Genomic DNA, 25,556 nt, shown 5'->3' with positions numbered 1-25,556 from the left:
GAGTCTCTTTCTGTTGCCCAGGCTGAACTGCAGTGGTGCATCTCAGCTCAGGGCAACCTCTGCCTCTTAGGTTCAAGTGATTCTCACATCTCAGCCTCCTGAATAGCTGGGATTAAAGGCATGTGCCACCACGCTCAGCTAATGTTTGTATTTTTAGTCGAGATGGGGTTTTATCATGTTGCCCATGCTGATCACAAACTTCTGACCTCAAGTGATCCATCTGCCTCGGCCTTCCAAAGTGCTGAGATTACAGGCATGAGCCATCGCACCCAATTCTATAAAATATATATATTCCTAAGTAACAAATGTAGGTTAATAGAGAACTCATAAACACAAAATAACTAATTCTACATCTTCCAGAAAGCTCAACATAATTCTTTCATTTCTGATCTACTATTATTCAAATAGACTTTGCTCAAATTTTATAGGAGATCTTAATACAGTATTATGTTTGTTTAGTATGTGAGATTCATGATAAGCTCACCAAAGAGTTCTTTACTCAGTGTGTGAATTCATAGAGCATATGGTTGCAAAGGGAGAAGCAAATGTTTTTGAAAGGATTACGAGAGACAGTAGTCACAGGAGTCATTCCCACTGTTATTGACTGACACGTATATTGTTACTTTAAGAGAAACTGCTTTGGTTGGGCGTGGTGGCTCACGCCTGTAATCCCAGCATTTTGGGAGGCCGAGGTGGGTAGATCACCTGAGGTCAGGAGTTCAAGACCAGCCTGGTCAACATGGTGAAACCCCATCTATATTGAAAATACAAAAATTAGCCGGGCATAGTAGCGTGTGCCTGTAATCTCAGCTACTCAGGAGGCTGAGGCAGGAGAATCGCTTGAACCTGGGAGGCAGAGGTTGCAGTGAGCCAAGATCACCCCATTGCACACAAGCCTGGCTACAGATCAAGACCCTATCTCGGAAAAAAAAAAACAAAAAACTGCATCTAAGTTTAGACTATGGTTCGTAGAAGATGGTATGAACCAGCAGCAAGTTCATATCCAGAACTGCTCACGGCAGATGATTTTGTCTTCTGGCTGTGCCATAAATTTATCTTTTGCAGGCTACTCTAAAACTTCTATAATGGTGGTAGATTTCAGTGAAGTGGAGCCCCCCCCACAGCCTGCCTACCACTTGCACCCAGCTGGCAGCAGCACCCACCTTGAGCATGGTGAGGAGGGCATGACATTGGTGCCCACCTTGCTGCTGTTCGCCTCCAAATGCTAAGTCCCTGCACACCTCACAGCGGAGCTTCACCTCACCGCCCAGCACCACAGTCTGGTTGACCAGCAGCCATGTATGCAGAATGGCCAGTGAGGAGAGCACTCTGCAGGGGCACATGAGGGCTGGCCGGCTTCTTCACTGCCTGAGCCTGCCTGCAGCCCTCACCCAGCATGTCCATCATGTCCATCTGCAGGATGCTGCCGAACTTATTCTCCACCACGCTCTCCATAACCAGGCTCCACGGCTAATGTCGCAACTGTGGGTGGATGCTCAGGTGAGAGGACTGGATCACAGGTCCTGCCCTGCAGAGCCCCCTACCTTAGACCCCACCACCACTTGCTCACAAGTCCAAGGGTCACACCCTTGCCACCAGGCCAACCTTGATGTCCTGATGTGATGCTTTTTATGAAACCTCTTGTAGTTTTTCATCCAGGAAATGGAGGAAGTAGGATGGCTGGTGTCTGGACAGTTGAAGTGAATGAGTTGGGTGGTTGGATTGGCCAGCAGCTTCTTATCTACTGGGTCTGAGTCCAGTCAGGGGCCTGGCATGTGAAGGCCATAAGAGAAGTGGGAGACGGAGGCCTATCTGGGTCAACCCCATTTCAAAGGCTCCTTCTGTCTACCTGCAAGCCTCAGTTTCTTCTCCTGTGTAGGGAGAGTGCTGGCCTTTTGAGGTCTCTTTCCTGGGCTAAAAAAGGCTCCCAGGAGCATCAACACCATGCCCCCCACATCCTGGTTATTGTCAGAGCTGGGCTGTGTGTCTCCTCCCCTCTGTCTCCTTCCTCCAAGCTGCTGCTGCTGCTGAGAAGTCCAGGGTGCTTCGACCTGGCTTGGGGGACTTCAGGGAATGAGGGAATCTTCCAGGGAAGTTCTCACCCTCTCAAGGAGGCACAACAGGGCAAGCCCAGCAGGGAGGACCCAGTGGGCATCCCAGCTGGTTGAAGGAGCCAGAACAGGCCTTGGGATCAGTTTACCAGAAGGGAGAAATCAGATGTCCACAGTGCCAAGAGCCTAGAAGGCAGTTGGGTGGTGTCCATTTATGAGATTCTGAGACCTTTTGCCACTGTGCAGTGGACCTTAGTAGGACCTGGTGGGCACCTACTAAGAATGAAGTTTTGCAGGCCCGGCCTCCTCTTCTTCCTGGTGTTTAGCACTGCGGCCACCCCTCCCTCACAGCCCAACTAGTTTTTCCTCTTCCTGAAGGCTGCGATGGGAGCTGCCTTCCTCCCCATGAGGATTCATGGGGTGGCTGGGCCAGTGTCTCTCAGAAGGGCCCAAGACCTGGGCCCAAGACAGGGGGGAGGTAGCCCCCCCCATGGTGACCTCACTGCCATCTGCCTGCAGAGATACCCCAATCTCTCAGAGGAGGACCCTGACACACACATGAGAGTATGGACGGAAGCTAGAAAGAGGCGCCTCCCAGAGCTCTGCGCTGCCCTCCAAGAGTGGATAATGGTGACCCTTGGGGGGATGCAGAGAGCCCAGCAGGCTGTGGAGAGACCACAATGACTCAGTGCTGCCCACTACCAGATGGTACTTAGAGAGGGGAGAGAAAGAAATCAACTAGACAGATAGGGTGAGAGTCCTTGGTAGAATTCCCTTCTAACAAAAAGCAGCTTCTCTTATAAGGAAAAGCAATCCCGGAGGTCATTTCTGTTTTAGCAAAGAGAGCTCAAAAGATCAGGCTGGAAACGCAGATAATGGAGGCAAGTTCTAACACAGAAAGGAACTGCTATGTGATCAGCAAGTTTCACTGACCTACGGAGGACCCCAGTGAGCAAATTTCTCTCTCTTTTTGAAAATATTCAGACAAGGAGGCTTGCACAAGGGGAGTGCCTGCAACAGCACTGATAAAAAAGAGCTACTCTGAATCAGGCACGTTTACCTTGGAGGGTTCTGCCACCCACTTCTTTTTACACACACACTTACACACGCATGGTAGGAAGAGATAAGCAACATGGAGTAACTCACGCTAAGGAGCCTGCAGGCACACTAGAAAGGTTGGAGTGGGGCCGGGCGCAGTGGCTCATGCCTGTAATCCCAGCACTTTGGGAGGCCAAAGCAGTGGATCACGAGGTCAAGAGATCGAGACCACCGTGGCCAACATGGTGAAACCCCGTCTCTACTAAAAATACAAAAATTAGCTGGGCGTGGTGGTGCACGCCTATAGTCCCAGCTACTCGGGAGCACTCCTGTAGTCCCAGCTACTCAGGAGCATGCCTGTAGTCCCAGCTACTTGGGAGGCTAAGGCAGGAGAATCTCTTGAACCCGGGAGGCAGAGGTTGCAGTAAGCTGAGATCACACCACTGCACTCCAGCTTGGCGACAGAGCAAGACTCCGTCTCAAAACAAAAAAAATGTTGGAGTGTGGAGTGGGGACTGTCAGAAGTTTTCACCTTATGCAAAGGACGCAATGACACACCTAGTCCTGACTGGTTTTTCACACGTTATGTAAATGAACCACCTCTCCCGACCAGCTTGTTTATAAAATCCCTTGGGCTTTTCACTTTAAAACTGCAACTCTTTTTCCTGGGGGTCCTCTCTGTGCCAGAAAGCTTTCTGCCTTTCACTTATTAAATTCTTCTCTAACCTCACCTTTGGAGTGTCTGCACCCTTGATTTCATTGGCTGTGAGACCAAGAACTTCGTGTAACACCCCAGATAATGAGGCCGATTTAATTGCCTTCTGAATGGTGGCCCACCAGTGACCCTCCCAGCCAAAGCACACATGGGGCAGAAACACCAATCACCTGCCTGGGAAGGCCAGGTGGGCAGGAACAAGCAGGGACTTGGTAAGAAAACCAGAATGTGTGTTCAAGGGCAGGGGCCGAGGGTTCAGCTGAGTTGGAAAATTCAGATTCTCTTTCAGGATGTGCTCCTCTCCTCGGATCTGCTTATCTCCTGCAATCTGAGACACAATGCAGAGCAATTCCCAGGCCAGCCATGATTGGAGCCTCCACCACTATATGGTGAGGTGCAGAGAAAGGCCCTGTGCTAGGCCAAGAGCCTATCCTTGACCAGTTCACCCTCCCTGTCCACTAGGTGCAGGCAGAGGCCAGGGACCCTAACTTCAGACAGAGGTAGGCAGCAGGGTCACCGCCTCCGGCAATCCCATCCCGGGGATTACAGGGTCCCTGGGGAGACCTAGCAGTGGCTGGGTTGAGAGATTCAGGCAGGGGGATCCCAGGCGAAAAAGTAAGGGACTGGGCATGTGTGGGGACTAAGAGAGAAGTGTGTGGCTGTCCCTGGAGAAGTGACAGCAAGGCACAGACAAGCTGAGTACCCAGATGCCACACCCAACTGTCAGGTACACAAGCCCCAGAATCCCCTAAGCAGCCCCAGGAAGGGTTTTATTTAATCAAGAAAAAAGGAGTCCCACCTCCACTCACACAGGCACTGGTCCTTACATACATTAGAGAACAGAACTCTTGCTCTGCCCAAGGCCAGGGAAAGAGGGCAATGTCTCTCTATCCCGTGGGTCACAGACCTTGTCCTGCCAGAACACCCACCCCACCCTCAGCCCCAGAAAGGTACAGACGACAACCAGGGTGCACATGCCAACCACTGGCACAACCCAAAAGGGGCTGAGTCCTGTAGGGACCTTGGTCCTGGGGAGTGTTTCCCAGTCACAGAGTCTTTCTGATTTTTTCACTCACTAGCTTTGTGCCTCAGTTTCCCCCTCTATGGCAAAAAGTTAAATTCCATCCTGCAGGCTAGGGGACCCTGATAGGTCACCACAGCCCATTAAATGACTGCAGCATGTGAAAGTGGGGGTGGGGGGGAGATCTCCCTGCCCTGGGTCTTTTGCCCCAGGACTGATGTTTATCAGGCCAAGGCCAGGCCAGCCTGTTGAGGAGGCCAATATGCCCCGCCTGGGGAAACTTGCTCCCAATTCCAGGTCACTACGGTTAAGGACCCCCAATGCATTAGGGCAGGAAAAGGGGTGGAATGGGGATGAAGCAACGCTTATCATAAGGGCCTTGGGTTAACCCTAGAGAAAAACAATCAAATTCAGACTCCTGTCTGAAGCTGACCACTCAAAGAGATTTCGATTTTGGGGTAAGAAACGGTCCTTGGGTCAGAAAACAAGATCTTCTGATTCTGGACTCTACAGCTGTCTTGGGTAAGGGAATTTTGCCAGCTCTGTGCTTTCATTGAGCCTAAAGGGAGGGGGCACCTGGAAGGGACTCTGAAGCCAAGGGTGAGAGTCCTGACTTCCTGCCTCCCCAACTCACTTTCCAAGAGTAGACATTGGGCAGCAAAGTTTCTTAACAAAGTCAGAAAAAATAATATCCAGACCAGGCAGGCTAATAAATTTTACCAGGATTATCCGGCCTAATCACCGAAACAGCCCTGCCATATTTCTCCTCTGGGACAGGTAAGGAAACTGAGGTTGGAGGAGGACACCGGGAGCCTGGTCAGGCCGCTGGCAGCCTGGAGACCCAGAGGTCCAGGCATTCACCGCCCTCCACACCACCGCCCCTCCCTCCCAGGCCCAGGAGTCTTCATTCCCAGCATATTCACCTGTCAATAACTCAGGCCCCCCGCAATCGTCAGGTGATGGCCTCCCTGTGTGTGGCTGCCAGGCTAGGGATGGGGGTGTCTGTGCTTCCCTCGCCCAAGCTGAGAGTGGCCTGTTCCCAGGGGGCGGGCTTCCTCTTTGGTTGGCAGCCTGGAGTCTGGAGTGCAGGTGCCGGGCAGGCAGCACTGGGAGCGCTCGGCGACTTGGCTGGAGGCCGAAGGTGCCGCCCCTCGGGGACCAGAGCGTCTTTGCAAGGTGGGCTCAGCGCACACTCCCCTCTCGTTCTGTGGCCCCGGGGCCCCTCCTAGAAGATCCTCCTCATCTCGGGTGACATTGACCGCCAGCAGCCCCACGCCAGCTCCCTCTGCCTGGCGTTGGGTGCGCACCTCTAGGGGCAGACGGATCCCTTAGCCCAGCGGGCTTGACAGCAGAGTGGTGGCAGTGGGGGCTCCAGAGAGTGTCACCGCGTTATGCTGGCCACCGCCGGGCAGGGGCTGGGCTTAGCTGGCACCCTCACATCCGCCCTCCAGATTCCAGCCTCTGACTTTGGCGAATCTAGCCAGGACCTGGGGTCTGGGGCCTGGACTGTGGACGCCCCTGGGCTGGGCTCCCCGCGGGGGCCTCGCACTTGGGTGGGGACCCTAGCGCTCCAGGCGCCACACACACCAGTGCGCCCGCTCTGGCTGTGAATTTCGGAGAGGGGCGGCAGCAGATCCCGGGGACTGGCCCGGTGGGGACGATCACCCGCCAGCGCCTCTTCCCACCCAGGCGCCCTTTCCAGTCCCCGCGTCGCCTGCAGGGCCGCCCCTCCACCGCCCGCTGGTCCCTCCCCACCAGCCTCTCTACCGCCCCGTGCGGCTCCGTGGCCAGGGCTCCAAGGCGAGGCCGCCCACGACCGCAACTGGCAGGGAGAGCAGGGGCAAATTTCCCAGAGCGGGAAGCCTGCCCCAGCCCGCCCCACGGCAGAGCTGGCTCCGAATCCGAGCCCCCGACACCCCAGCCCCGCCCGCCCCGCCCGCACCCTGTGTGGCTCGCAGCCCGCCCGCCCCGCAACCGCTCCGTCCTTCCGGCTGGGAGCCCAGGCAGGGCGGGCGCGGTCCAGACCACCGCGCGGAGCCAGAACACAAACCCCAACCCCAGACCGCAGGGGCCCTGCCCTCCAGGCACCGGGACAGGCCGTCCTGGCTTGGCTGGGAACTGGGGTGTGTACCTGTGGGGAACAACTGGTCAAAAGCGGTTTTTTCATTTCCCAAAGGTAAAGGCTCCTTCGTAATTTTTTTTCTTATTTACTTAAAATGGATAGAATCTAATTAGATTTACCCATAATTCTGTCAGTAAATTTGAGCATACTTTTATTAATTTTTCTCAGTTTAACTAGTTCGTTTCTTTTTTTTCTTTTTTCTTTTTTTTTTTTTTTTTTTTTGAGGCGGAGTATCGCCCTGTCGCACAGGTTGGAGTGCAATGGTGCGATCTCAGCCCACTGTAACCTCCGCCTCCCGGGTTCAAGAGATTCTCCCGCCTCAGTCTCCTGAGTAGCTGGGATTACAGGTATGTGCCACCACGCCCGGCTAATTTTTTTTTTATCTTTAGTAGAGACAGGGTTTCACCATGTTGGCCAGGCTGATCTCAAACTCCTGACCTCGTGATCCACCCCCCTCGGCCTCCCAAAGTGCTGGGATTACAGGCGTGAGCCACCACACCTGGCCTTATTTGTTTCTATGTTAAGAATTTAAAATTCTACCTGAAATTAGTAGTGTGAATTCAAAAGTATCTGAGACAGGTCTCAATTTAGAAAGTTTATTTTGCCAAAGTTGAGGACACACCTGTGACACAGCCTCAGGAGGTCCTGACAACACGTGACCAAGGAGGTTGGGGGCACAGCTTGGTCTTATACTAGAACAGGAATTAAAAGAAATTAAAGAATGTGTCAGCAAAAACTCAGTTGTATGTTAGAAAACCCAATTCCCCCTGAGGAAGAGAAAGAGGTGGACTCCTTTAAAAATCAACTGTCTGTTTTTCAGTCTGTGGCTAGTGAGCCTTATCTCTCCCTTTCCCAGGCATTGTGAAGACCCTGTTTCTCTAGCTGTGCAGCTGCAAGGTCACTAGACAGATAAACTCAAGTCGTAAAACATGTTTTTCCTTGAAAAGTAAGAAATGATGTAATGCATGTCTCAATTAAAGAACTGTTTTTGTTTCTCGCTTCTGTAATATGCTTCCCTCTGCACAGATCTCCCCCTGCCCCACAAAATGCTTAAAAGGTAACCTGACTCTTTGTTTGGGGCTCAGTCTTTTTTGGATGTTAATCTGACTGGGCCAGTTCACCTAAATAATAATAATAATAATAATAAATCCTCCTCAACCCCTCGGTCTCTCTGATTCCTAAATTATCCCATTGTATGAGGGCAGGGCTAGGTCTGATTCATCTCCAAAGTGTAGGTGTAGAGCAGAACCTGGGGCAGAGAGGGAACCAGCACACCCTGTTTCAACTAAGTGCCGGGTCAGCAGACATTGGGTAGGCCGTAGGGCTTGTCCACTTGAGCTTTCCAGGCAAAAAAAGTCAGAACTGGGGATTCCTAGTGCTTGGTTTGGCATGGCTCAGTATTAGAGGCTGAAGAACCCTTGGCAGAACTGCCAGCCCCATCCAGCTGTGGCAGCGCTACCCTATAACATAGCAGGAGGCTACATTGGCAAGCTTTACTCACCATAGGTTGTAAGAACAGCTTGATGCCCATAGGGTGCTAATGATGCTGGGTTCATCTATGACTCCAGTGTTCTGGACATTCTGAGCTGCTCATCTGGTTCCACTAGACCCCCAGGCCCTCTCCCAACTAGGCAGCTTGAGGTCTAAGGAAATGCCATATACCTTGGGTATGGGGCATGGAATCTTACCTCTTCAGCCATTCTGGTGCCCCCCAACCCTGCCGTCTTAGCCCTCAAGAGCCCACAACTACAGCAGGAGAGCTGAGGGGTGGAAAGCACAGAAACAGCATGATGTAACCCCAGAGAGTGGCCAGAATCTGAATGGCTTGGGCTGACAGGACTGGCCCTAAATGGAGATGGAAAGAGGGATGACAAGAAGAGGCAGCAGGGGACTGAAGTCCTGGCAGAAGCTAGGGACTCATAGTGGTATCATCCACTGCATTTGAAAATCCATGAGTAGCCATGGTCAAGGGGAACCAGACCCAGGCAAGTAGAAAGCCTGCAAATGGATTCCTGGAGCAGAAGTCCAGGCTAAATCTGAAAGGTGCTTCAAGCTCACAGAGGAGGGGCCTGCAGGGCCAGCTTGAGGATTTTTCCACCCTTTCCTCAGCAACCAAAACTACCCTCCCCAAAGAAGCCCTGGCCCACTAGGTCCATCCGTGGGGCAGAACCCCATGGAGGCTCCTTACCATGTGGGGTTGTCCTAGTGGACAGCGATGGAGCAGAGCTTGGGGGAGATGCTGCAGCTCTGGTGAAAAGCCACCCAGCCTCACCATAGGGCTCCACATGGAACTTGTAGGGATGGGGGGTGAGCCGGCACTCACTGCCACCCCAGCCAACAGCCCTGAGTACCCGGCAAAGGCCAGCAGTGTCAGGAGCAGTAACAGAGTCAGGCCACCTGTGAGGCCCAGTAGTAACAGGTCCGAAATGGCTCTGGACCCCTGCACCGCACCCCAAGGCAGCTGCAACAGAGAAAGAAGGGAGAGGAGGCTGATAGCCATCTCTGACAATGTGCCCACCTGCCCGCCAACCGGTTCTGGCCCAACCTCCTCAGCCCTGCCTTGGGTGCTTTGACCCAGGAGGTGGAGGGGCCAGAGCACGTAGTGACCTAGAAGAGAGCCATAAAGGATGACTGAAGCCACAAGCCTCTTTATTTCTTAAACACAGTAGGTGAGGATCTCAGAACAGCTCTACCTGTCAGCTGGAAGCCCTGGTCACACCGGGGGAAACTGAGTCACAGAGGGGCACAGGAGTGAGTCATCCAGGGACATACTCCTGGCCTGGACAAGTCTCCCCCAAGATATACCAGATGCCAGCCAGCCTGCCTTTCCTCCACAATACCTCTTCCTTCCCACAGCAGAGCCACACTGCCAGCCCAGCCTCCCGAAACCTCAGGGACTACTGCCAGAGGGAGGACAGATGAATACCAGGGTCCAAACACCTATCAACAAACAGGGAACCCAGAGGGAAAAAAATCCCCCCAGGGGGAAATGTGTGTAGGAAAGAGAATTTCTTAGGAAACTCTTCTTTGCTAAGTACATCTGACCTGCAGGGACCTTGCTCTCCAGCAAGCTCACCCATCCAGAACCAGAGGGAAGACCACAGCAAAATGGCCTGAGCAGCTAGAACAAAGTTCAGCATTAAGCTTCCCAGACTTGAATCACCCATGTTAACAAGCTTCATCTCAATTTTCCAGCCCATAGAAGAAACAGTGAAGAGTAAGAGGAAAAGGCTGCCAGAAGGGGAGTCTCACAACAGGAAGAAGTAACAGCTACGCATAGAGGAAGGGAAGCTGTTCAAGAGCGGGCCCAGGAACACAACACAGAACCATTGTGTGAGCTATTCCGGGCAGACTGCCTAGGTCTCCAGGCAGCTCGGGGCCAGAGGCCTAACCCTCTTACACAGAGGCCTTGACCTGAGTTGCCTGGAGAGGGGGGAATTATAGCACAGAGAAAACTGTTTAAAGAGGAAGGGAAGCATGTGACCCACTGGGGGTACATTCCCACCCCAATTATTTAAAAGTAATATTTAACATTTAAAAGGTTTTGAAGCTGAAAAGGCCACACTGCAGCTTTGTGGAAAACTTAGCTCTGTGGAATTATTTGTTCCCTGTGGGTTCTGGGTGTTGATTTTACACTAAAAAAATTATTTTTGGAGTCGATGAACACACAGTATTTGCTCACAAAGAGGCAAAGTAAATTTCTTTTCTTTCTGCCTTTTTTTTTTTTTTTTGAGATGGAGTTTTGCTCTAGTTGCTAAGGCTGGAGTGCAGTGGCATGATCTTGGCTCACTGCAACTTCCACCTCCCAGGTTCAAGCGATTCTCCTGCCTCAGTCTCCTGAGTAGCTGGGACTACAGGCACCCGCCACCACGCCTGGCTAATTTTTGTATTTTTAGTAGAGACGAGTTTCACCATGTTAGCCAAGCTGGTCTTGAACTCCTGACCTCAGGTGATCCACCCGCCTCAGCTTCCCAAAGTGCTGGGATTACAGGCGTGAGCCATCGCACCCGGCAGAGGCAAAGTAAATTTCTAAACTTTTAGTGTCAGGACATGGAGGTGCTGCCCACTGGTCTCAGCCATCTATGCTCCTACCCATCAGTATCTCTCTCTCTTTTCTGCCTGTCCTACTCATCTTGTCTCCAGTTAGTTTCATTCCTGTTGTCTTTGATGATAATGATGAGAAATCTTCTACCGAGCACTTACTATACACCAGGCACTAAGTGTTGAAACACAGCTGCTTCATTCATCCTCAAAGCAATCCGACAAGATAGGTATGGCTAAGGGTGCAAGTGGTTAGAGGTTAAGAGACTTGCACAAGGTCACACAGGTATTAAACAGAGCCATGTGGACCAAAATGCAGGCAACATGAACCCAGACACTCGGACTCCAGGACCCCATTTCCGCTTTCTCTCTCCTCTCTGGTGACTGGCTTCCAGAAAGACTCAAGAATTTAATCTTTGTTGGACGTCTCTGAGCCCAAAGCTGCAAAACTCTTAGCATCTAGGCCCCCCACTTGCCTTGGGAATGACCAGCCCTCACTCTGATCTGCCATCTCAGCTGAGCACTTCCTGTCCCCTGAAGGGAATTTAGTAACCACCTCTCTCTTCCTCTCACCTTCCAAACTGCCCAGAAGGGTGAGGGCTGCCCCAAGTTCGCATCCAGGCCCTGGGACGCGGCCGGGGCCAGCGATGGGCGAGGCGAGAGGCCAAGAGCAGCCGGTCCCCTCAGGATGTGGGGGCCCTGAGGTCGCGCAGGGGTGGACTGGTGTCCCAGACCCACGCTGCAGTGGGGACGCCCTGCCTCCGGCCCGGCCCCGCCTCCGGCCCGGCCCCGCCTCCACCACTGCCCGCAGCGCACACGGATCCGCCGCCCCCTCTCTGGCTAGACGTGGCTGTGGCCGTAGCCTTGGCTGAATGCGCTGGACCGGGAGGGCCGAGGCCTCCTCTCCCCGTCTCCATGGCCACGGGCGTGCGCCTGACCCTGGAGCCGGCTGGGGCGGAACCCTCGGACTACCTTCCCGCCTTCAGCAAACTCTACAGTTGCCGAGGTTGATTTAGCAACACCCAGGGGATCTGGGTCAGCCGGAGCACCTCAGTGACAGCCCAGCCCGGGGGTCCACAGGAGAGGGCCAGGCTGGGGCCAGGGAGCTGAGGCTGAGGAGGAGCGTTTGCACAGGCTAGGGAGACACGGCACAGCAGTATCCGCCTCTGGCATTTGTACCACCGTTAGTCCTGCCACTTTCTCTCATTATGGCTTCGCAAAAGACTTGGGAACCAAGCAAGGCATAGCTGAGGAAGCTTAAGCCCAGTCTGGGCTCACGGAAGAAGCTGGTGGATCCAAATATCTGCTTCCTGCCTCCACCCACCCCTCCCCGCTCCGTGAGCACATTCATCCATCCAACATTTATGATCACTCCCTGCCAGGACAATTCTAGGGGCTGGGGATACAGTGAATAAGACCAAGGCTCCGCCCTCCTGGAGTCCACATCCCAGGGGCATGCCCCCTTCCAGGCTCCTCCCTCAGTGCCCTGGTGGTGGCTGGGGGAGGCTGGTCTACCTTTCTGGTTAGCGATAGCTTAGGTGACTCCCAGGTCAAGTGTAAGCTCCTTGATGATCGCTTCACTCTTCCCTTCAAATTTCTGAGGACATATAAACCACAAAGCACTCTGCCAGGGGCCCAGAGATAAAACCCTCCCCTCGCGACAGTCCTAGACTTTTGGTGGGAGGTGGGGAAGGTGACAACGATGTTCATAAGCTTGGCTACAAGACCGTCGAGGCTAAGAGCTACTTCGGTATTCTGACCAGTACTGATGGGAGAGGATCCCGCAGATGGGAACACCAGGAAACTGGTGGTGGAAACAGTCAGCAATCATGGGGTGGTTGACCTTGTGGATCCCACTACTGCACTAGCAAAGAGCAGGCTGGGCACACAGGGGCAGTCATCATCCCGCTTCCTTTCTCTGTGCTTCACGTTCTTCCTTCCGCAGGCAGGGGAGATGGAACCTCGTCCACAGGACCAAGCCTGTCCCAGCCCTCCAGGCGGACTGGCGGAATAGGCAGCTGGCCCCTTTCAGGCACTCCGGTCCGGGTCAGTGCAGGTCGCGGCAGTTATTTTACCTATGAACTCCCAGGACACGGTCAAACGCTCAGCTCAGGTGCCCTAGGCAGGCAGGCTATTCACTTGGAAGCATTTCCTTTGACACAAAGAGGGCCATGGCACTGGCTCAGAGACTGACAGCCTCTGCCTGCAGGGCCTGCTGGTCAGTTCTGCTTCTCATCAAGTGGTGAGCTTTTCCCAGGAAGCCGTTATAAGGAGGCGCCCATTCTTCATCTTGTCCTCTCTGCTCACTTCCTTTAGCGTGGTTGGGGAACTCCAGAGTCCCACATCACAGTTCAGCATGTGCCTCAGGAGCTTCAGCAAGTCTTTCGTGGAAGGAGAGTCTGCCGGTGACGGGGGAAGCAGGCCATCAGCCCGCCCAGCTTCATCTCAGGCCGCTTCCAACACCGCCAAGCAAACTCCCTTGGCAAGATCCATGCAAGGCCGCGGCTGACCACCGGGAGGCAGCAGCCTACTCTGCAAGGCACTTTCTTTACCCGACCCCCACCCCCTTTTAACAGGTGGCAGGAAACCTGCTGGCCCAGCCATCTGCCGCACCCACCCTTCACTCCCAGTCCCATCTCCCCATAGCACAGATTTCCCTATCATGAGCCCTGACGTGACCTGGGTGTCCTCTTGCCTTCCTCTGCCCAAGGAATTCCTACAGAGATTCTTTCTCTATCCTCCTTTGTACATTTCCAAGGAATTGTTTCCCCAGGGCCCCTCCCCTTGAAGAAATTAGACAGGAAGCTGGAGTAGATGGTTCCCTCTTTCCCACCTCTCACACTCCCAAGCTCTGGTTAACTCTCTGTGGGCCAGTGGCTAGATTCCCCAACACAGATGACAACTGAACAATACACATGCAGCGTAAGAATGTTGTCGCTGCCACCAGCCACTTACAGATACACCATTGCTAAGGTCCACCCAACTGGACTGTTTCCCCCTCCCATAGACTAAGCCCCAAAGGCCAAAAAGTAAAACCCGCTACCCCAAACCTGCCTGTAACTGTTTGACCAGAGGCCAGCTGTCCCAGGATGCGGTTAAGACGTCTACTTTGCACAAGAGAACTGGCAAGAAAAACATCTCCAGGAAGCGGTCAGACACATGGCACAAAGGACCCCCCCCCTTTTCTTTTTCCTTCACCCTGATCCAGTTCTATGTCCTATAAAACCTTGCTCTAGCCTATAAGTGGGGCTGCCTTCTCTGCTTTTGTCAAGAGGTAGCCAGGCAGGACTGACAATAAATCAGCTTGCCTGAACTTGGGTCTATTGGCCTCATTCCTTTCTTGGCTGTCCTTCCAATTATCCCTTACAACCATCTCCCACCCTCTGAAGGCACTGCACCCAATACCCCGCCATTCACAGTCTGGTCAGGGCTGTCCGTGCAGGACTTGTCATGGCTGAGGACCAGCTAGCCTCAAGCCACTCTGAAGTCAGCTTGCTGTTTCCCCTGGAGCCTGGAAATACATCCCTCTTCAGGTAAACAAAAGCAGAAAAAGCCCAGTGAACCCCACTGTAACAAAGAAACTGCCAGCAGTCTTCCTTCTGTTCCTGCCTGTCTCACCACCCAAGGGCTATCGCAGAGCCCACTGTGTTCTAAGATCTATTCCTTTCACTAGCACCCAGCCAACCCAGTGTCCAGACCATTCCTCAATCAAACAACACTGCCTTCTGGAGTTTTAATTTTATTTTACAAAAAGAGAAATAAGGAAAACCGATAGGCAGCTATACTGACTTAACAATTGTTCTGCTTGCTTTTTTTCAAAAAAGTGACATGAAACACAAGTAAAAATAAATATGTCACAGAAAGAGCCAGTTGTTCAGTCTCTGGACCAGGAACTCCGGCCCTGCTGAGAGGAGGGAAGCCCATGATCACCCCAGCAGCTGGATCGCCAAGCCACAGATGCTCCTCAAAGCCAGGCACAGGTCCCAGGCCTCAGGGGCATCCTGAGGAAAGAAGATGGAAAACCAAAGCCAGTTGCCTGGACCCTTGGGCTACCTCATCATCCCCCACTCCTCCTGGCAGCCATCTGGCCTTAGTGATTAATCATTTGTGGCATCTCCGCCTTTGCCCACCTGGACCCTCTTTCCCTGACCTCTCTGAAGAGGGCACAAGGAAAAAACCTGTCTTGGGCAGACTGAGGGGATTCTTCCAGTGAGTCCCCAGCCCACCCTGAGTAACACAACCAGCTAACAGTCATTTTACACCCAGGTGCACATGAGCACAGCACACACATAACTCTCTCTCTCTCTCTCACACACACACACACACACGCACACACACACACACACACACACACACACACACAGCTGGACTGAGCTGTCTTCCAGGAAGGGTCTTGGGTCTGGTCACAGTATGAGGTCCTCTCTCTTCTGAATATCATCTCAATAGTGGTGGCAGAGAGAACCCAAACCTCCCCAAGCCCCTGCATTGCAGACTCTGTAGCCGGCCTGGCTACCCCTCCCCAGCACACCGGATTACTATGTCCAATAGACCTGCAAAAGGGAAAGGAGCACACTCAGGACCCGGAAGAGCAAAGAAGGTGGACACTGTCTGCTCAGGACACTCTTCGTTGTAAGACTCGGGTATAAATAAAAGGCCCAGGGCCAAGCTAGTGGCACAGAACAGACATTAAGGGGGTCACCATGGAATACACAGGGCAGAAGAGAAGAATACACATGGCAGCAGGGAAACGGAGTCCGAAGGTGACCAATGGAGAGCACAGCATTCTCAAACAGTCCTTGAGGTGCTGATTCGAGGGAGCAGTCAGCAGAGGGCCAGAACATCTTGTGGGGATCCTTTTGGGGAGGGATGACTTCTCTTAGGAGTTTTGGTGGGGAAGAGCCACTGAGCTCGGTGCACAGAAGGCCACGGTTCAGAGGGAGACACTGGTCTTCTGAGAAATCAAAAAAGAAAGTGGGAAGCAGGAAGTTATATCCAGAACACTAGTATAAAGGAATGAAAAGCCCCCAGAGACCTTCCCCCATGGGATGAGGACTCAATTTCAGAGCAATACCAGGCTTGAATTGATTGACACAGAGGGCGTTTCTCTGCTGACAGCTTTGGGAGTGATGGTCCCATCCAGGCCGCTTAAGTTTGGCTAAGTGTTTCAACCAGTCTGCACATCTTTACCCCAGCTCTTTGCTGTCTCCTCCTGGATTGGGAAATTTCATATTTAGCTGTGAATCACAAGTATATAGAGACTCCACCCACTAATTCCTAGGGAAGAGGTCTCCAAGCACCAGACAGAATTATCCCTAAATCAAGAGATGATGAGATAGACGCTTAAGAAGCATAACTCAGGGCCGGGTGCGGTGGCTTACGCTTGTAATCCCAGACTTTGGGAGGCCGAGATGTGCAGATCATGAGGTCAAGAGATCAAGACCATCCTGGCCGACATGGTGAAACCCTGTCTCTACTAAAAATACAAAAATTAGCTGGGCGTGCTGGGGCACACCTGTAGTACCAGTTACTCAGGAGGCTGAGGTGGGAGAATTGCTTGAACCCCTGAATCAGAGGTTGCAGTGAGCCTAGATTTTGTCACTATACTCCAGCCTGGTGACAGAGCGAGACTCCCTCTAAAAAAAAAAAAAAAAGAAAGAAAGAAAGAAAGAAAAGAAAAGAAAAAAAGCATAACTCAGAGGGGTGAGGACTTCACAGATATCCAATCTAAAGAAAATGATAAGACCCACCATGGTTCATTGCCTTTCTTAAATAGCTACTTTGTCCCTGTTCAGTTTTTATCTACAAATATATTAAGAAAAGGAAATCAAGCATCACTACAAATGGCAAACCTGAATCATTAAGTAGTACTGCATTCCCCAGGCTGAGAACTTGGCTAAACCAGATGGATGGGGCTTGAGAGGCCCTTGAAAAAATTCCATGGAAGGCAATAGCGAGGGGAAATTCCTCAGTCAGATCCTCTGCATTCCCGCACGTGGCCCCACATTTTTTGTTTTGTTTTTTTTGTGTGTGAGTGTTTTTTTAATAAAAGCAAAAACCAGGGACCTGGTAGCACTCCAATTTCCCATGATCCCACCTCCACCCCTCTACACAATAGAAACTGCACATATAAGAGAAAGCTTTCTCTAGTCAGGTGAGCCTCCCAGAATGATGGCCTCTGCTGAGGAGAAGCAAGACCCAGTCTCTGGAACATGGGTAGCCAGTAGCCATGTGCTGCCTCTCAGAATACCCATTTGCTCTCTGGCAATTTCACAAATCTATGCCTCCAGTGACTGGTTTCAGTTCCCTGCTGAGAAGGTTTTCTGGATTCTTACCCCAGAGTCTGCTATGGCCCTCCAATGATGGAACCAGGCTGGTCAGAGGGCTGCAGGAGCTAGTATAGGGATGACCTGACTAAGCTGCCTTCTGGGCTACGAAGAGGCAAGTCCAGCATCTGCCCAGTAAGGAGGGAGCCAAGGTGAGGTGGTAAAGCTCTAAAGTCAGACTTTCTTCATCATAAAGAACCATCTGGTAAAGCCTTGGGGTATGGGGAGTGGGGGATGCAGAGGGGGTAGGGACGCTAATAGGAATAGGAAGACAGCCAGTGTTTGTACTTAAGGACTAGATGCCTCTTCCCTGGCATTGGCAATAAGGGGAGACCCAGAATGACTAATGTGTTCTTTTAAGAAAAAACCCAAACTTATGACTCCTACAGAGAAAGGGCTTCTCCATGGTCCTTTGAAGATGGAGGCAGCAGACACCAGGCCCATGTGGGTCATCCGAAGACATTTCCTAACAAGAAATCAAAAGTCCCTCAACCCAGCAACCACCTACCCACAGCTTCACTCTTCAGCATAGACAGCCAGCCTCTAAGATCATCCCAGGAGGACACAGCTCCAAATCTGGGCTTCCCGACTTCCCAGTTGTAAACTCTGATCCCAACTTTCAATTTCTGTGGAATGAGTCTCACCTCCCACTAACTATCCAGTCTCAGGATTCCTTGATCTTTCTGAAAAGCAATCTCTCAAAAATATAGTTGTTTAATCCAAACCTTGGTCAAACAGACTCTTTCCCTCATCAATATCCATCCACCCAGGATTGTTTTTCACCAGTAGCTATGGAGTCTGGGATATCTGAAAACATCTCTATCTCCTACTCTCTTTTCCCCTAACCTCCCCGCACCCCACCCACAAACAAACAAGACACATGAAAAGCCCAAGTAAGAAGTAATTGCCCATAAGAAATAAATTAACATGGAGCTCTCTAAAGGGGAAGGAAAGGAACAGGAAAGACACCAGGATAGGCAGCTGGGGGCTCAGGTCCCACCGGTGAAAAATGTCTTTTCCAGCCACAGCTCCAGGGCCTCCCCCTCCCAGCCTCTGCACACAGACAACCTTCCACGCTGCTCACAGAGAGCCATGGGGGTTAAGAGACGCAGATTGGTAATGCCCATTTTCTCTCATGATTTCCCCCAAATTCTCAAACAAATGTGGCTCTTAAAACCAGGGACTTGAGTTAGCTGGGCCTTCTCTTCCCCCAACCAGAAGGAAACTTGTAATTTCCATGGTTCTTCACCTGGGCTCACCCTGATGTTCACACTAATAGGTGCCATGAACGACCAAACTCTGATTTCCATTAGAAGAAAGATAAATTTATTTCAGTTTCCCCCTTTGTTTCTCCCTCCCTCCCCTCCCACCTTTACTCCTGCTCTGTTACATACATACATCAACACACACAGACTCACAAACACACAAGCCTGGTCAGCTTCCTTCCACCCCATAAAAAGACCCAACTTCACCTGGGATCACAGTTTGCTCCCCTGCCCACCCTCCTTCTCTCACTCGCTCTTCCCTCTTCCTCCCTTCCCTCCCCTCCCCAGGCCAAGTTAAATCACTCAGTAAGGCAGGTCTCTTTGGAAAGAATGATCCTAGAGACAGAAATGGGATGTGAGCTTTTGCACTTTGATGGGCGAGCAAGCAAGCAGACAGCATGAGCAAGGCAGGGAGTGGGAGAGGCTGCGCAGTTCTCCAGCCCTGCTTTGGGTCTTCAATTTCCCGCTGTTGGCTGCCCTGTTGGGCTTTTTTTTTTTTTTTTTTTGCCTCTTTTGTTAAACAGCAACACAGCTCTGCCACCATGGCCAACCACCCTCCTTTGTCCCCTTTGTGTTCTCTTCTGCCAAGTTTCCTATTCTGGAGAAGTCCAAATCATTGCCTTCCAGCTTGGTGGGCAACCTCCTGGGGACCCCAATTGAAGAGCAGAGGAGCTCCCCAGCTATTTCCCAGTGACCTCTATCACATCATCGTCCCTATTCTCATCATCACTGGAGCTGAACCCCACTTCAGCAACCTCATGAGAGTGAAATAGAGGCACCTGGAATGGAAGGAGGCCACCAGCTGGGTAGCCTGCCCATGGGGACATGTAGCCTGGGTAGATAGACATGCCCCATGAAAGGTTGCTTGGCACGACAGGGGAAGGAAAAGGTGCAAACATCCTCAGCTCAGTCAGGAGTCGCTGTGAGAATGGAAGTGGAGAGCTGGGTGGTTTCCCTGGCACAGAAGGGCTGAGCATGAAGGAGGGGCTGCTGGCAGTGATGGAAGTAGCTTAGAAGAGGAATGGACAGGGCCTGCTGGCTGGCATCAGAGGGTCAGTAGTCACTGGAAACACCAGGTGGGCACCTGCCAGCAAATTGGGTAGCTGGCAGTAAGAGGGGGCACTGCCCATAAACAGAGTGTTGTCCCCAGCTTAGGAGGTGAAGGGGTGGTGAGGTTATGATGTAAGGAGACAGGTGGCTTGGCAAACCCTCCAGAGACTGGACACCTGTATTCATGCAGCTGCACAGGGGCTGGCAGATGGCCCTTGCTGGACCACCAGCAGGCTGACTCCTGGGAGAAGATGGTATGGTCAACTTCCACTTGTGGCCCCTTCAGTCCAGCACTGGGTGCCTATGACCACAGAACTGCCAGTCACCCAGAGGGAACTATGGAGGCAATGACCACCGAGTCCAGGCTCAGCTCTGAGAGCTGTCCCGGGAACAGCAGTGCAGTCCACAAGGTGGGCCGGGGGCCAGGCAGGGCAGCATTGGTACTTGGGGAACTCTGATGGGATTCCCAGGCAGCAGCCACATCTGCCCACTGCTGAAGCTCACTGATGATCTCCAGGCTGTCAGGAGAGATGGGCCTGGGCAGCCCTGCAGGGTGGGGGTCTTTGGGTGAAGAAACACTTGTCTGACGTTGCTTGTGGACTGACGAGAAGATACCTGGGAACCTGGAGACAAAATATAGGTAACAGAGAACCAGAATGCCCAGGGAGCGGAGGGTAGAGGAGAAAATTCCATTAAAAAATTCCTGACCTGTGGTCCCTGAAATTCTGTTAGTTTGATGTCTAACAACATCTCCCAGTCAACCTTTTCCAGTCACAAAGAAAAAAATTATTTGAAATGTCTATCCATGACAAGGCAGTCCCCCAATGTGTAAAATGATACCAAAGTGAATCCTATGAGATAAGGAATATAAAACGCTAAGACATCATTCTTAAAACTGGTCAGACTTTTTCTTGCAGTAAGAGACAGTGATTTGGGTGGGAGAGAGAGGAAAATAAAGCTAAAAAGCAGTTCCTTCTGATTTAAAAACAAAACAAAATCCAAAGCTATGAAAGACAGCTGAGACAAACAGGAAGTCTGAATTTCAGCCTGAATACTAGGTAATTCTATGGAATTGTTAGCTTTTTCTAAGTGTAATAATGATATTGCGGCTAGAACAGAATATTCTTAATTTTAAAGGAGGCATGTTGAAGTACTTAGAGATAAAATGACATGATGTCTTCGACTTACAAATGACTCAAATAATAGAAAGGGAGGGAGAAAAGAAGAAGGCTTATGAAAACTGATAATCATTAAATCTAGGTGCAGGGTACATGGGTGCTCATGGTGCTTTTTTTCAACTTCTCTCTATGTATGAAAATTTAAAATTTCTATAATACAAAGCTAGGAACGAGAGCATTGCAGCTCTCATGTCTCAGTGCTGGGAGGATACATGAGAACCACTTCCACTGAGGGGAGCTTGGCGAGAGTTCTTAACCCTGTTCATGGCCACACATACACCCTTAGACCTGGCAATCCCACTTTAAGGAACATATCCTAGAGATATAACCACCTCTGTGAAAAAGTGCTGCAGTGGAGGGCGGCTGGCCGCTGGGGGTCACAGAGCAGGACTTGGAGGATCTCCACCACCCCTCCTCCCCGACCCCAGTATTTGGCATGGTCCCTCCTTTCCTCGTCCTGGGGAGGGGAGGCTCCTTCCTACTCCTGGCCGGTCTATACAGGGGTCCCCACAAAGGTGAAACTGTCAAACAAATACGCAGCCCAAATCCAGGTGAAACAAGTAAGTCATTGGCTTTATTCTGGGTCCTGGAAGCTCCAGTGACAGTCTGAAAAAGAGATACAACAGGAGTGTCGGCCCACAGGGCTGGTGCAGGATACAGTCTTTGGCTGCTTTGGCCCTGGGAGCCTAAAGGACAGTGAGGAGAAGGCTTCACAAGAGGCCTAGAGCAGGGGGAGTTACGTCCCCTGGGAACCCCTCGCCCCCAGAAGAAGGAGGAAGATGGCTGGAGAGTCTGCTCGGTTCCGCAGCCCTGCCCCGCAGGAGGGGGCTGGTCATGGGTTACTCCTTGCCCTTCTCAGGGTACTGGGCTCTCAGGGCCACTTGGTAGCCCCCAGGGGCTCAGTCTCAGGGTCCAGCCGTGGTTCCTCCAAGGGCCCCTCACCCTCCAGGTCCAGCTCCTCAAAAGAGGAGCCGCTGGCACCTGACTCTCTGCAGCTGCACTCACTGCAGGTGTCACCATCCTCCCAGCCGCGGCCGCTCTCCCCAGGTGACACGGTAGCAAATGAAGTCTCCCGGCTACCAGGGCTCACCTCCAAGCTTCCAGAACTCGTGTCACTCATCATGTCAGTTCCTATGGCCAGGAAAAGGGAGCCCAGGTTAGCCAGGTCCACTCCGCCTTCTCCTCCAGGAAAAGGCAGCTCAGCACACACAGCACAGTCATGAAGAATGCAGCCACCCAGTCCCAGGGCGCTCACTGCCTCACTGCAGCTGCCTTCTGCCCTGATGGGGCAGTGGGAAAAAGGCAGAGGGAAGGCCAGGCACGGTGATTCACGCCTGTAATCCCAGCACTTTGGGAGAGCTTCCATTTCCATTCCCATCACCCTGTCCCTTTTCCCAGCCTGCTCTGGTGAACAAAGTTGCAAGGATCCTCCAAGTGTTCCAAGCTCCCACTCCCACAGACTCTCCTGTCCTGTTCCCTGACCCCAGCCACACTGACCATGCCCTCTGCCCAGCCCTTGCTGCCCCAGGCTGTCCATGGCCTACCTGGCCCCACCGAGGCAGGAGGCACAGGGCAGCTGGTCAAATACTGCCAGCAGGCTGATGTCCCCAAACATATCCACCAGCCCAGCCCTTTCTGAACTCCAGACCACACATCCCATTGCCCACTCCACACCCCTAACTTGGATGTCTCTCAGGCAGCTCCCCTGAGATAGCCCAATAACCTGGCTTCCCCCCAAAACCAGGGCCTCCCTCAGTTCCCCCACACATCAGTGAAAAGCATCACTACATGCTTGCCCACCTGCCCAGGCCAGAGAGAAGTGGAGCCCGCTGTGACTCCCTCACTGCCTCTCCCCACAACAGCCAATCCACCTGAAGTCTGTGAGTTCTGTTCCAAAAGTGCCTGTAAATCTCCGCCCTTGTCTGCGTCTCCACAGCCACTGGGCCTGCCCAAGCCGCTGCCACTCACACAGGGATTCATGACAGCCTCCTAAGCACCTCTACCTCACCCCAGTTCTGTGGTCCAGCCCCTTCCTGCCTGGGAATGGGACAGCCCACCTTGCACACACGCTGCTCCAACTGTGTTATTTTCCTGGTTGGAACACTGCAGTGACTTCCTGCTGCATTTAGACCAAAGCTCTGCCTAGAATGTTCTTACCTCTTCTCCAAAGGCTCCTCTAGGACTCTGCCTTGAGGTGATCTCCCCTGAGAGGTTGTCCCTGATCATTCTGTTTAAGTCGGTTCCCTGACTTTTCTCACCCTCTCCTTCTCTAGCACATGTCCCATTTTTGTCTGACATTGATTACCTGTCTTCACCACCTCATTGTAAATGCCTGTTTCATGCACCAAAGTTTCATTCACATTGTGCCCATTATAGCACCCGGCGCACAGAAAATAAACAAGTTAAATGAATGAATCAACAGTCACTTCCAAGCCCCAATGGGTCATTTTCCTGGTTTCCAGGTTTACAAAACATTTAGAGGAGGAGGGATGCGTAAAAGGGCAAGTTTTAAAAAAATCTCTGTAGACACACAGACCTCTGTCAGACAACCTGGTGGCTGGCTCTCCTTCCTCCAGGAAGGGTGTGCTGCCACCATGGCCAGTGACCAGGTTAGGAAGTAAAGGAGAAGGGCCTGCCATTGCTGCCCCAGCCCTGGGCTCAGGGAGCAGGTGCATAGCAGAGGCAGGGCCAAGGGCAACACGTGATTACCTGGGGCCTGCCCAGCCACGGGGAGCCTCAGGTCCTTGCTTTGCAGGCTTCTAGCAGTGGGAGAGAAAAGTGGACTGTCCTTCCATCTGAGCCAGGAGTGTGGGATTAGCACTAAGCATGTCTTTGGTCAAAGCCAGAGCCAAACCAACCAGACCAGGTTCATGAACAAGCTCTCCATGCTCTTGGGAGATGCTCTGGCTCCCACAAGGTCTTGGGCATCTGAAAGAGATGCCAACACCTCGGCCCATCTTCCTGGCTCCACAGGTACCTGTTCCATGAGGGCCCCAGAGTGCTGCTCTCCCCAAATCACCTCTTCCTCCCACTCTGGGCAATCCTACTCAGCTCCACCCAAGGGACCTGGCTGTCCCCAACACACAAACTCCAGGCCTGTGCATCACCTTGATGTAGGTGTCCAAGGCAGAATGGATATGGCAGGCAGCCACCCAGATGGACAGCATGGTGGTGTAGGGGAAGGTGGCTGTCACCACGTGGCTGGGTGCCTGGAAGGAGAATGCCTTGAAGTCAAATTTCTGGTAGATGTGGATGAGCTCAGGGGAGGGAGATTCCTCACCTTCACTCAGGAGGCTGCCCAGGACACAACAGCACTTGCCAAGAGGAACCGGGGAAAGGAAAGCATGTGCATGAGAGCTGATCAAAGGAAGGAGGCCCTGAGACCAGGACACAGCTGGCCGTTTTCCTACTGGAACCCACCTGTGCCCCCACCCGTGGCATCCTACTGCAGGACTCTCGGCCATTCCTTTATTTATTCCTTCCACAAACATGCCACACCCTCTGGAGAACCAGGGATTCTAGTGAGGGGTTAGGCTCGTTCTTTGCCCTCCAGGAGGCCAGGAGTAGGAAGGACAGAGAGGACCTGTGAACCGTCACCCTCCACATGTCCACTGACAGCACCGCTGAGGAGGCGCTTCCATCTCCCGATGAGACCTTCTGTCAGCCCCACTCCCCAGGGCAGGACTGCAGGGGGACTGATCCTGCAGCCTGGGCCCAGCACATCCCTATTAGCTCATGTTCCTCCTATCTGCTGAAGAAGAGCAGGCTTCACGGGCAGAGAAATTATGGCAGGAAAGGGAGCAAAATGGAGGAGTGGGAATAAAGAGCTCAGAACCCTGCAAGGTGCTGCCGGAGGAAAGCAGGAACATATGTGTGTGTTTACACATGTGCTTGCAGGGTCAGAACCTGGCAAGTGGCGGTGGAGGGGCTGCAGGAGGCACCTGTCAGGACATGGGATGGGGATCGCTGACCTCAGGGCTGCTGATGAATTTCTGTGAAGAGATCACCCTCCCCATCCCTTAGGGAGGTCAGCGACCATCCCGAGTCTCTAGACTTCTCCAAACCATGACCCACCCAGGAAACTATCCACTTCCTAAGTCCCTTCCTGGCTAAAAGCCGAGACTGCTGGCTCCCTCCAAGTCTCTAGGCTGCTAGTAGCTGTGCTTCCCACTCTGCTCCCTCCCAACCTAACTTTCCTCCTCTGGCTCCCAGAAACCCCAGCCAGGCAGGGCTCTTGTGTGAACCTCCAGCACTTCCTAGGATGGACCCAAGGCCGCAAGGCCCAGCACTCACTTCTCCTCCTGGCATCAAGGACCCACTTTGTCTCACCTGCTACCTGTTTCCCATGTCAGCTTTCCAGGTGCCCAGGTCTGTTCCAGCCTTCCGGCTGGGCCCTCAGGGGATATAATCCTGAATCCAGGAGATTCAGCACAGACCTCGTACCCTCAATCCTGGGTTTCGCTCACTTTAAAGGCTTGTTTCTCCCCTATCAAGGGCCTACTGACCCCTAAGTTTATTAAGTTTTTCTTTTAAAAAGATTTTTTTTTGCCAGTAGTTCATGTTCATAGGGATGAGCTCCAGGTTTAAACAGGCTACTCCCTCCACCTCCACTTACTCCGTCCCCAGCCCCGCTGCTCAGCACTGTGACATCATCATTCCCTGTTCTCACCTCTGCCCTCCCATTATGGCCCTTTCCACGCCCCCTCCGAGATCCCCTGGGGATTCTCAGCACTCAGCCTCCTCTATTCTGGC

General features: G+C 52.5%; 1 long non-coding RNA gene and 2 pseudogenes across 2 annotated transcripts; 1 reads left to right on the top strand and 2 right to left on the bottom strand.

Moving 5' to 3' along the window:
• Positions 1–5,886: 5,886 nt before the first annotated feature.
• LINC01785 (long intergenic non-protein coding RNA 1785) lies at positions 5,887–14,301 on the top strand. Its single transcript, NR_135233.1, has 2 exons — positions 5,887–6,001; positions 13,305–14,301. It is a non-coding gene; the product is annotated as a long intergenic non-protein coding RNA 1785 (long non-coding RNA).
• On the bottom strand, positions 19,064–20,252 carry RAD54L2P1 (RAD54L2 pseudogene 1; annotated as a pseudogene).
• Positions 21,357–21,842, bottom strand: LOC100996349 (testis expressed 264, ER-phagy receptor; annotated as a pseudogene). The gene has a single exon (NR_103470.1). The product of NR_103470.1 is annotated as a testis expressed 264, ER-phagy receptor (transcript).
• Between the last annotated feature and the right edge of the window lie 3,714 nt (positions 21,843–25,556).

The sequence above is a fragment of the Homo sapiens genome, chromosome 19 (genome assembly GCF_000001405.40).
Source record: "Homo sapiens chromosome 19, GRCh38.p14 Primary Assembly".
In the NCBI taxonomy this organism is placed as follows: Eukaryota; Metazoa; Chordata; class Mammalia; order Primates; family Hominidae; genus Homo; species Homo sapiens.
This window is presented reverse-complemented; position numbering and strand designations above follow the sequence as displayed.